The sequence below is a fragment of the Homo sapiens genome, chromosome 17 (assembly GCF_000001405.40).
Source record: "Homo sapiens chromosome 17, GRCh38.p14 Primary Assembly".
Lineage (NCBI taxonomy): Eukaryota > Metazoa > Chordata > Mammalia > Primates > Hominidae > Homo > Homo sapiens.
This window is the reverse complement of record NC_000017.11, coordinates 15450637-15463261: the sequence shown is the minus strand read 5'-3', so window position 1 is coordinate 15463261 and position 12625 is coordinate 15450637. Positions and strand designations below refer to the sequence as shown.

At 46.1% G+C, this 12625-nt stretch overlaps 2 protein-coding genes across 3 annotated transcripts in view; both read left to right on the top strand.

The window, feature by feature from the left end:
• TVP23C-CDRT4 (TVP23C-CDRT4 readthrough) overlaps window positions 1–12625 on the top strand; it is a 127469-nt gene that overhangs the window by 100222 nt on the left and 14622 nt on the right. The gene's annotated exons all lie outside the window — the stretch shown is intronic.
• CDRT4 (CMT1A duplicated region transcript 4) overlaps window positions 1–12625 on the top strand; it is a 31607-nt gene that overhangs the window by 4360 nt on the left and 14622 nt on the right. Inside the window, exon 2 of the mRNA NM_001204477.2 lies at window positions 10177–10258. The gene's annotated coding sequence lies outside the window, so the exon portion shown is untranslated. The remainder of the gene's footprint in view (window positions 1–10176; window positions 10259–12625) is intronic.

The following is a 12625-nucleotide window of genomic DNA, read 5'->3' as shown; positions in this document are numbered from 1 at the left end:
CGGCCCAGTGATCCAAAATTTCAGCCCAACTCATAAAAACCCTAGCCCTCCCCTACCCACTTCCCCATTGTTTCCCAACACGCCTGATCTTCTCTCCTTACCCTGAATCCAGGGCTCTTGACTGATGCTGAAGAGAATGGCACACTCACACCCACACACGCATGCATAGCCCTGCAGTCATCTCGACAATCTTCATTTCCCTCCTTCTAGCAGTTTTTGTTCCATTCCTGTCCACCTCCTCCCACCCCCATCTCCTGCTCAACTATCTTAATATCTTTATCTTTAAAAAAACAAATTTGAAATATGAAGTGCTCAAAGCGAGGCATACAGCTTACATCTTGGTGATGTGTCTAAAGTGAACACTCAGTAACAGTCACCCATGACAAGAAATGCAACACTGCTAGCTTCTAGAAACCTCCCTCCTTCCTTCTCCCATCGATAACCCCTTTCTCTAATCCTCAGAGGTCACTACTCTCCTGAATTTATGGAAGTCACACACTTGCTTTACACTAAATGTATTTCTAAACCCTATATTTTGCCTGTTTTTGAACTTTATGTAAATCGACTCATGTTTACTCTTTTGTGCCTGGCTTCTTTCACTCAGCATTATGTTTGTGTGATTCATTCATGTGGCTGCAATAGGTGTAGCCTGTTCCTTTTCATTGCTGTATAGTATTCTTCTGAATGAATGCCCATATATATGGGCAATTCTGTCTGCAGTGTCCAGCTAAGGAACCCTCTGTTTCCCCATAGGACCCAGCCCCAAAGTAGGGTCCCTTCATGGTTTGACTTCTACTTTTCTTTAGAATCTTTTTTTTTTTTTTTTTTTTTTTTGAGATGGAGTCTCACTCTGTTGCCCAGGCTGGAGTGCAGTGGTGTGATCTCGGCTCACTGCAAGCTCTGCCTCCTGGGTTAACGCCATTCTCCTGACTCAGCCTCCCGAGTAGCTGGGACTACAGGTGCCCGCCACCACGGCTGGCTAATTTTTTGTATTTTTAGTAGAGACTGGGTTTCACCGTGTTAGTCAGGATGGTCTCGATCTCCTGACCTCGTGATCTGCCTGCCTCGGCCTCCCAAAGTGCTGGGATTACAGGCGTGACGACCACGCCCGGCCTAGAATCTTTTCTTGCTAGAGACCTCTCCCCTGACCCTTGAGCACCCTCTGTATTAGCCATTTCTGCAGTTCCCTAAGTGTGCTGTGCTCACCTGGCTTTTATGCAGCCTGGCCTCCTGCTACTAATTTTTTAAGGGACTCGAATCTGCTGTTTACTTCAGTCTCACCTTCGGCCAGTCTTTGTTTTATGCTTTATGCTTCAGCAATATTGAAATATATTTTAATTTTTAAGACTACATACTACTTTGTCCTTTTCCTCAAGTTTTTTCTGTTTTTCATCCCTTCAGTAATGCCTACTTATTATTCAAAATGAAACCTAGGTTCCAGCTCCTCCAAGAAGTACCTACTGATACCTTTTATCTGTAGCCTATATTTATATATAGCCTATATTCCTATCAAAGCAAATGGCGCACAGCATTGCACTGAGCCATACTGATGGTGATCTGTGGCAAGAAAATGGTCCAATCTGGTGGTTCTCAAAATGTGGTCCCTAGATGACACTGGTCTTCACCTGGAGACCTGTTAGAGATGCAGATTCCTGGTGCTTACTCCAGGTCTTACTCCAGAATTAGAAACTCTGGGCATGAGACCCAGGAGTCTGTGCTTTAAAAGGCTCTCTAGGTGATACTGGTACTAAGGAAGCAGACCACTGGTCTCATCCGTCACTGTAACTGGCAGGTCTGGTCCAGAATAAATGTTGAAATAAAATAAACTCAAGTCATCTACCCCAGGAAGTCTTCCCAGCATTCCTAGGCTGGGTGAGGAATCACTCCTGTCCTTGTGGCAGCCCGCATGCTGTAGCGGAACTGCAGAGGCCGACTTCCTTAAGGGCAGGGATTCTGCTGCCTTCGCCTTGCTATCCCTATGCCTGGCACAGAGCTCTGTATTATAGTTTTAGGTCCTGGGATATACATGACAGAAAAGACAGAACAGTTCCTTCCTTTCATGGAATTCAAGTTCTAAGAGGGCAGGCAGAAAATAAATCATAAACAAACAAATGTAAAATAATTTCAGATAGCAATAAGTGCTGTCGGGGAAACAGAACAAGGTGATGTGATAGATTTGGATTGAGTGGCTAGTTTAGAGTAGGAAGTTAGAAAAAGCCTTTCTGAGAAGGCAACATTGAGCTAAGATTTAAATGATCAAACACCAGCTATGTAAAAATCTGCGAAAGTCAATCTGGAGGGAGGGAATGGTTGGAGTTTGGTGAGTTTGAGGACTGACAGGAGGACACTGTGGCTGGAGGGTGGTTGGCGGTGGGGAAGGCGGGGGAGGGAGGGAGAGAGACAGAAACAGAGAGATCTAAGAGGTGGACAGAGGCAGCCATGGAAGGAGTTTGGATTTCATCCCAAGGGCTCTGAGGAAACCCTTGGAAAGGGATGTTTGTGTTGGGGAGTGGTGTGTACTGGTGCAGGTTTTAGAAAGATCACTCTGGCTGCTGTGTGGACAAAACAGATTACACAGGGGGCAAGTGTGGGAGCAGGGAGGCCAGTTTGGAGGCTGTGGGGGCAACCAGGCGGATATGGGGGCAGCACTGGGGCAACATGTTTGATCACGTGGAATTCTGCTTCCACTGTATTAGATGTGTGGCTTTCAGGAAGTCACTGAACATTTATATGCCTCAATTTTACCCTCTGTAAGAGGGAATAATCCAGCACTTAATGCACAGGTTTGCTGGGAAGGCTCAATGGGTTAATAAGTATAAAACATAAACACCTATAGTGTGAGTTATTTTTATATTATTATTAGCAGCAGTAGTAGTTGTCATAATTGTAGAATAAAGAGAACGAAGGATTTAAGACAATTACAGGTTGAGTTGACATGATTTGATAATAAATTGGATTTTGAAGATGAGGGAAAGAGGAAAAGAAGATTCCTAGTTTTTTGGCAACAGGTTCATTAGGGGTGCTGGTTAACAAACTGGAAGAAGGCCAGTGGGGAAGCAGGTTTTGAATGTGGTGGGAGAGAGAGGTGTCAGGAGCTGTTTGAATGAGGTAGGTTGAGGTACCTATAAACTATCTTTGAGGAGATGTCTGGCAGGGATTGGATATAAGAGCGTGCAGTTCAGGGAAGAGCCCATGGCTAGAAACACACTTTTGGGAGTTGGGGCACTGTGATGAGTTTGCAGATGAAGACGTGAAGGGTGCCTGGGACAGGGGCTCCCTCACCCTAAGTGGAGCAGAGGAGCAGGGGCCAGCATGGGGCCTGAGAAGAGAGGCCTATGAGGTGCTGGGACTCAGGAGAAAGGGGCCTGCTGGCTCCCTTGCCAACAGGTCAGATGAGATAAGCAGAAGAGGCAAAGGAGATCATTCCGTATGGCAGCATGGAAGTCATCTGCTGAGTGAATGAATGGAATTCTACCTCATTGGTTGGTGCATCTCTTTAGAAATGAACTCAGTAGAGGCTGGGCACGGTGGCTCATGCCTGTAATCCCAGCACTTTGGGAGGCCGAGGCGGGCGGATCACGAGGTCAGGAGATCGAGACCATCCTGGCTAACACAGTGAAACCCTGTCTCTACTAAAAATACAAAAAAAATTAGCCAGGCGTGGTGGCGGGTGCCTGTTGTCCCAGCTACTCAGGAGGCTGAGGCAGGAGAATGGCGTGAATCCAGGAGGCGGAGCTTGCAGGAAGCTGCGATCGCGCCACTGCACTCCAGCCTAGGTGACAGAGCGAGACTCTGTCTCACAAAAAAAAAAAAAAAAAAAAAGAAAAAAAAAGAAATCAACTCAATAGAGAAGCCTGGCTGTATACGTTCCTTGACACCTATCAAGAGTGAGAGAACAGTGTGGGGAGGGGCCTGAAGACAACAGTGCAAATGGCCTTCTCAGAGCCACCTTCAGAAAGGATGGCAGAGCCCCTGTTGGGGTGGGTGCTACAAGTCAAAAGAAGCTCCATTTGTCTTGTTGTTCATGAGTGGAGGGGAGGTTCCTGCCTCTTCTGCAAAAAAAGTTTTAGAAATCACCATGAAACAGTGGCCAAACTGAGGTAGAAAAAGTGTTCCTGAAACTGGAACCAAAAATTTCCAAATGACAGCACAGTTTGGCATAGCTGTTCTGAGTCTAGGAGCATAGGAGCCCTCACGCCATTTCTGTGACCTCCCCAAGGCAAATCATGAAAATTGCAGATTTTCTTTATTACCAAGTGAGGCAGTGACAGACCTGCTCAATGGTCCTTAAATTTTCATGAGCAACAGAATCCCCAGGAAGGCTTGTGAAAATAGATTGCTGGGCCCAGCCTGCAGAGCTTCTAGTTCAGTAGGCTAAGGTGGGATCCAATGAATTGCATTTCCAACAAACTCCCTGGTGTTGCTGCTGCTGGTGATGGTGATCCCAGAACCACCCCTTGACAGCCTCTGTCTGGATTATACAGGCTCCCCCACAGCAGGGACAGTATCCCTCCTGCTCACCTGGCTCAGTAGGAGGCCCTCAATAATTCAGATTAAATGAGTGGATTAATAAGCCTTCGGTGGTGTATCCCTCAGGGTTCAGGAATGGGTGAACACCGTGGCTGTCACGGGGATACAGGAGTGAAGGCCAGGATGAGACAGACTGTCATGCTGGACATTTAGTGGTTTGTTTCTTGGGCCTCTTCACAATGACCCGACTTGCCTCTGCTGCCGCCCAGCAGCCCCGCTACTGAGTAGGACTCTACTCAGAGCTTCTGGTGGCCAAGTGGTCATCTTTGGACTCTCTTCATTCTTCTCCTTGAACGTTCCTAATGTGAAGGTTCCCCCCTCCACTCTGACTGTGAGAAATCTTCCAACAATTCAGTTCAGGCCTGCATCTTCATGAATGGAATTTAGGTGGAATTTTAGGCAGAGGGACACAGTGACACAAAGGTGACACAGTGACACAGAAGTGATTTAAGGGGCAGTGTCTTTCCAAGATTCCTTATAGACCCCTGGGTAAAGCAAGTCCTTCCTCTCCACCCTCCAGAGCCAGAGGAAACAGGGTGGGACCCTGGCATATGGCTATTGAGAGATGGAATTCGTTAAGTCCCAGTAAAAGCGAAATGAATGTCGGTGGCCACATCCCATGCAGCACACACATCTTTTGGTTAGAAGGACTGTACCCTTGCCCTGCACACAGAGCCTTCTTTCTTCCTCAAGGAAAAGTGACTCTTTCACGGCCTGCTGGGAGGCAAAGGAAATGGAAAAGTCTCACAGCGTCCTGAGCCCCTCTCTGTTTCCTTCGGGCTTTCACAAGTTCAGCGGCCTTTGCACACAAGCTGGGTCCTGTGGGGGAACAGAGGGTTCTTTAGCTGGAGGCTGTGGACAACACTGCCCATGTTTCCCTGGGAGAGGAGAAGCCCCGTGCACTGACCTCCTAGCCTCGTCCCTGTCTTGGCAGCGTGTGGAGCATGTGGAGCCCCTCCTGGCCCTCCCTGTCTGTGGCCCCAAAAGCAAAGCAGCTCAGGGGGGCTTTTTTGAGAAGCTGCTGAGCTCAGACCCTGCTGGCTCCACATTCCTGGATGATGAGGGAGGGATTCCAGTGTTTACTTTGAACAATGTTTTCCTGTGTCTGAATTGACTGGGTGTTAAATTCTTCCAGATTTCTGGCTCCACGTTGCAGCTCCAACGGGACAGAAACAGGTTTACGGCAGTTGGCAAGAGAATGAAAGCAGGGCCCATCTGGGCACCTTCTGCGTCTAGAATATCCACTCTGTGGTTGCAAAGGCTGTTTAGCGCCCGCTCTGTGGGCTCCATGCCCAGGCAGGGTTTGTTGTGGTCTCAATTCACAGAGCTCTGCACTTGTGCCTTTCACATTTCCCACCCTAGAGGGCAAAAGTTAGCTTTTCTCTTTTGAAAACGCATCCGGGAATGAGAACAAGCTGAGTTTTTGGAAGGTCAGGGCTTGCAGTGTTTTCTTGGTGAGTACAAACCCAGAAGTCGGGCTCATAAGGAATTCATTTGGTGGGACATTAGGAAACTTCAGTACATTCCATTTCCTGGGGACTGCTGTGCCAAGAGGTTTCAGAGACATGCAGGAGGTTCGAGCTGGAAGGGAGACAGGGTGCAGCAGACCTCAATCCTCATTTTTACCCAGGAGGAAACCGAGGTACAGAGGCAAAGTAGCGCGAGGGCTGAGATGTTGGACTGGAAGGGCTCGTCCCTAGTGCATCTGGTTCGATCTCTTGGTGCTGAGCAGTGCGTAATCCCATCTCTGACCACACAACCTTGCAGAGGTTTAGGAAACATTCTCCTCTTTATTAAATGTTGGTAAATCAATGGCTTTAACAATGCAGAGAGCTTCAGAAAACAAACAGGATCGATTCCAAATTAAAGGCACTCTTTGGGTCCACCATGCACAATAGTTTCTGCGTTCTTGTGTTCTGGATTGGTGAGCAATTCAGGGAAAACTCCCATAGGACCCCATGATGACCAGGGCTCCACAGAGTCTTTGGTGGGGCGCCAGTCTCTAGGCAGGCAGCTGTCAGCCTCTGAATCAGAACAGCCCAAATCCAAGTCAGGCATGTGACAGGTGATGGCCTTAAAACTTACTCCATTCTAGACCCCGTGCTGTTGGATTCTGGAAACCTACTCCTGAGCCGTGTGTGTGTGTGTGTGTGTGTGTGTGTGTGTGTAAAGGAAGATTAGCGGCAATCTTCCTGGCTTCAGTGCCTAGGTGGAGTCCAAACAGTGTTTATGTAGTAGGGTTGAATAAAATAGTCCTATGACAGAACCTGACACTTTGATCTGGCTACTTTCACAAAGTCATTTTGGTGCCAAGAACATTTTTACTTAGTTTTCAAAAGAAACCATGAAAATGTCAGATCTCTATACCTCTCCAGTAATGTGTAAGGCAAGTACCCTAACTCCATCTCTGAGCCTTCCCCCCGTATCTTGCCCTACATCCATACCCCACCTGCAACCCCTCTAGTCATATTAGTATATCCACTGTGTCAAAATGACCTTGTCAAAATCTGCTTTGTTGGAAGGGCAGCTTCATTTTTGTAGTATGTTATAGGCCTAAATTCTTTACTTACATAGGTTCCCTTACTTTAGTAGAAATGGTGTCCTCTGGAGATGGAATGGGGAAGAAGGAATTATGCAGTGAAATTTCTCCCACTGCTGCCAGAGTAGAAGTCCTTCTCTGTCTCAGTTTTGTGGGTGAGATTTTTCCTTGATAGGTCTGCTAGGGGCTTTTTATTGGTTATCCCTTGGTGGGTAACAAAGCACTCCAAAGGTTAGTTGCTTTAAACAAATATTTGTTATCTCAGTTTCTGTGGGCCAGGAACCTGGGTATGCCTTAGCTGTCTGCCTCTGTCTCAGAGTCTCTCCATGAGGCTACAGTCATGATTTTGGCCAAGGATGTGGTCTCATCTGAAGGCTCAACAGGAGGAGAATCCACTTCCAAATTCACTCACATGGATATTGGCAAGATTAAGCTCCTCACAGGCTGTTGAACTAAAAACCCTAGTTTCTTGCTGCCTCTTGGCTGGAAAACTCCCTTAGTTCCTTGCCACATGGGCCTCTCCATAGGGCAGTTTGTAACATGGCAGCTGGCTTCCCTTAAGATGAACGAGAAAGAGAGTGTAAGAGAGTGCTCAAGATGGAAGCCAACTTTTTTTGTGACCTAATCTCAGAAGTGACATTCCATCACTTAGACCATATTCTGTTTATTAGAAGTGAGTCATTAGATGCAGTTCATACTCAGGGGAGGGGATTTCACAAGGATGTGAATACCAAGAGGTGAGATTATTGGAAGCCATCTTGCAGCCTGCCTAGGATAGGCCTTATGGGCCCAATTGCCATTCATCCTATTGGCTCTGTCACCTTTGCAGTTCTGTTAAGATGTGAGTTGTGAGGGGCAGAGGAAAACGATTTCCATGTTTACCCTTACTCCTCTTGGGAGGTAGATAGCTTTGTTGGCATAGCATCTAGAGACTTCTCAGGGGCAAAAAATTCTGAGTTTCTAAGCTATTAATTGTTACATTTACCCTCCACTCTCCCATCCCATCCCAGCTCCACTCCAAGGAAAGCAGATGAGCCCAAGACAGCATCCACACTTGTTTTCCTTTTCTCTGTGGTCCCTGTCATTCTCTGAACAACGTGACACTTTTGTTCTCTCTAGAGTTCATCTAGTCCTCACGTTGCATGCCATTGTTATCTAGTTTTCTTGTTTCCAGAATGAACCCCCAGTCATAAATCATAGAATAGAATGTATACCAATAGTTCAGGGTTCTTGGTGTTTACCAGAAAAGCTAACGGTTACAAAGCTCCTTATGGATCATGGAATACTTTTACTTACATCAATTGGATCATCATAACATACTATGGGGCAGGATGTTTCCCACCTTGGGGATGAGGAAACTGAGCTTCAGAAAGACTAAGGAACTTGCTCAAGATGGGACATACCGAGGTGAAGGTGGGTTTCAACGTGAGTTCTCCTACCTCCAAATTCTGTGCTCTACCCTACAGCCCCTTGATGCTGTTGGCAGATCTAAGTCTCCAGATTACTTCCAGTAGGAATCTGGCGAGACTTCTTGGCTCAGTTTTGCTCCTTAAGTCATTCTACACCAGGGCTGCAATGATCTGAGAAGAGAAATAGAACTCAGCTGGGACAAGGGATGTCAAAGCTGGGGTGAGGGAGAGCGGACATGGCTGGTGACTTAGGGAGTTACACAGGAGTGTGCCTGTATGTGTATGCATGTGCCTGTGTGTGTACACATTCATGCAAGCATGTGTGTGTGGCTCGTAGACTCTTTCTCATGCCAGTGACTATACGGATGTTCTGCTCAGGGCTGTGTATATATGTGCACCTGTGTGTATTGCTGCCTGTTGGCTGGAAACATCCCTCGGTTAACATGTGTATGTATGTGGCTGCAGGTGGGCCTAGATGCCTGGGACCCACCTGGGCTGGGGGATGAGCTCTACAGAGTGCCTTTTGGTGAGCAGATGGTATAAACAGGACTCTTGGGATGTGAAAAGTAGTGTGGCTGGGGAGGGATGGGTGAGATGTAGGGACAGCACTGTGGCAGCAGTTGTGTTGAAGGGTCCCCTGAGCATGTCTTCTGACCTCCCATGACTTCAGTCCCTTCCCTGATCTTCAACGTAGTGACTCAGTTTTGGCAAGATGTGTCTTGGTACTAATTTCTCCAGCCTGAACATTGGACTGCATTGTTTTGGCATTGCAGCAGACATTGCCATCCTGCATATTAATGATGATAACAGTCCAGCCAATAGGCTCTTACCATGTGCCTGTGCCCTGTGCCCTCTGCCCAGTGCTGTATATGAATTATCTCATGAAATCCTCATGGCACTCCAAGGATAGTTTCTCTTACTGCCTCTGTTTTACAGATAAGAACACGGAGGCTTCTGAATTTTAACTGTCTTGTTCCTTGTTCCTGGTCACGCAGCTAAGTCACTGACCTGTCTTGAACTCGTGCTCTGAATTCCATGCTACACTTTCCCCAAAACAATTGTTTAATACGCAGTTTTACTGTTTTGGGAACTTTGGTGAATTCTCCTATCAATTGCCGTCTTCAGATACTGAAATCCATACACAATAATATTGCAGAACCTCACTAGAACAGTAAAGAGAGGGTGGTTTTTCTGCAATGCTGCACGAGGGTGGTTTTTAAAGGCCAGGCCTTTGTTGGGGAGAGGATGCCACAGAACACGCTCCATGAAGGGCCCGTTCCCGGATTTTAAAAGTATTTGACACATCCCTCCACCATGCCAAGAAGACACATTAAAACCCTTTTTGTTTAATTGGATTTCTGACTCAACAAAAACTTCTTTTGTCAGAACTTCAGGATTTCCTGGCATGTTACCCACACATATTTTCTATGTGGATAGTTATGTTTCATTGTATACTATTGGGGTATCTTTGTGCCTAGAAAGACTCATTTGAAATGAATAATTAAAGGTTTCTGCCCAATTTCAAGAGGCCTCTTTTGTGACGTCTGGGGAATGGACAATTGCTATTTAATTTTTAATTATAGGCAACAATTTTTTATGTATTTAAGTGTCAATTCTCCCTCCACTCCCAAATCATTCATCTTAGTTACATTATATTAAAATGTTGCCAGTTAACCTTCCTCATTCTGTGTTTCTCAGGAACCCAGTGAAATGAGCTGCACCAGGAACTTTAAGAGAGAGTTTTCAGCTGGGAGAAGAGGAAGGCAAGATATCAGAACAAGTTAAGCAAATCTGGCCTTGGGTTTTGACCACAGTCTATCCTTCCAGTGGGCCAAGAGTTGCTTGGAATGTAAGGATTTCACTTCTGAGCCTTAAAAACACAATTTAAGGAGAGAGAGGGAGAGAGAGAAAGAGAAAGAGAAAGAGAGAGAGACACATCCCAACTAAATAACACATAATGGGATAGACGGCCTTGATAGATAAGGTTCAGATAAGATACTTGGGAGCAGAGAGGAGGGCCTGTCTATTTCACCTAGAGGCCTGGGCCAGCCTCTCAAAAGAAGTATCACTGGAGCCGTCCTGGAAGGGAAGGAGATATGAAGGGTGTATAGAGGAGGGGCCATGTGTGTGAATTTATAATCATTATGAGGGAGGCAACTCCATGCATTTGAAAGAGCAGCTAACATCCGTTAACAACATACAGAAGATATCCCTGGAGCCATATTTGGCGGTGATGACACCTGGCCCTGGTAAAAGCACATATTGGACAAGGTGAGACTAGAAATGGAGTTTCGAAGGGAAAGCAGAGTAGAGCTTGAGTTAGAATTTGGTACATTTAGGTCCCATGGACTTTTTCATGTTAGACAAGGTTTCATTTCTTCTTTCAACAAAGTGTGAATCCTGGACTGTCACGGGTCCATGTGCTTGAATTCTTGCTCCTTAACAGGCAACTGCAATGCTGCACTCAATCTTCACAATAAACCTACTGGGACATGTATCATTCCCATTTTATGGATGGGGGAAAACTTTAAGGCTCAGAGAGAGATAGGGCAAGGGATTTGCCCACTTAAAAGCAGTAAAGAGCAGTGCTAGGATTTGAACCCAGGCCTTTCCCTTAATCCTATTTGTTTGTCATATTTTTCAGGATAACGTCCCACCTTTTGCCATTTTACCTTCTCTAGTAGTGGCTACTGCCAAGTGAGCCAGTCTGTGTTTTTCATTTGTGTCCCATACAAGTGTGCAGCTGCTGGATATTTGGATTTCCAGCGATCCCTGGGGATTCCAGGAGAAGTTGCTTATGGCAATTGCAGTAACGTCCATTTATCTGATGATTTTGACCCAAGAGCCTGGGGACAGAGCAATGAATGTGATGGATGAGATCATCGCTGTCATGTGGCTTATAGTCTAGTTGGTTAAGAGAAAATAAATGAGTAAATCATAAGAAATGTCAGGCAGGGATAGTGTTAGACAGAGTATTAAAATAGGAGATGTGATAGTGACTGGTGGTGATGTTACATAGTCAGGGAAGGCTGAGGAGTTGACATTTAGGCTGAATCCTGACTTCTAAGCAGGAACAACCCATGTGAAGATCAGGGACACATGCATCCCAGGCAGAGGCAGTAGCTGGGGAAGGACCCTGAGGTGGGAACAAGCTTGATGTTTTTAAAGAAGAGAGGCAAGGCCAGTGTGGCCGGGCACAGTGGGTGATGTGGGGAGCTGCTCTGGCCAAGGCTTGTGGGGAGGCAGGGGCCAGATCAAAGAGGATTTGCAGGCCAACATAAGGAACTGGCATTGGCTTCTAAATGGAGGGGGGAATGTTAGGCAGGGGGATGATTTAATCTGATCATGTTTAAAAATAATCACTCTGGGTCCTCTTTGGAGAAGGAGTTGTAGGGTGTGTTAGTCCATTTTCATACTGCTATGAAGAAATACCCGAGACTGGGTAATTTATAAAGGAAAGAGGTTTAATGGATTCACAGTTCCACATGGCTGGGGAGGTCTCCACATTCATGGCGGAAGGTGAAGGAGAAGCAAAGCACGTCTTACATGGCAGCAGGCAAGACAGCATGTGCAGGGGAACTGCCCTTTATAAAACCATCAGATCTTGTAAGACTTATTCACTATCATAAGAACAGCACGGGAAAAACCCACCCCCATGATTCAGTTACCTCCCACCAGGTCCCTCCCACAACACGTGGGGATTATGGGAGCTACGATTCAAGTTGAGATTTGGGTGGGGACATAGCCAAATCATATCATAGGGGAACAAGAGTGGAAGCAGGGAGACCAGTAGCAGGTGTTCAGTAGTTCAGTTAGTAGATGTTGATGTCTTAGAGGAGGCTGGTGGTGTAGAGAAGTTAAATCATGCTGGGTTTGGGGAGGATAATGGGCTGGAGATATTGAATGAAGAAGAAAGAGATGTTAGATGTTTGAACTGGGCAATTCGATGAATGATGATGCCTCTTTCTGAGATGGAAGAGACCAGAGAGGAACATTTTATGGAGTAAGGTCAAGAGTTTGTTTGAACCATGAAAAGTTTGAGAGGTTATTAGATATACAAATAAAGATGTAGTATATTGGCAGTTGGATATATGTATTTGGACTTTGGGAAAGAAGTCAGTCTAGTTAGATGTGGCAAATTGATGAG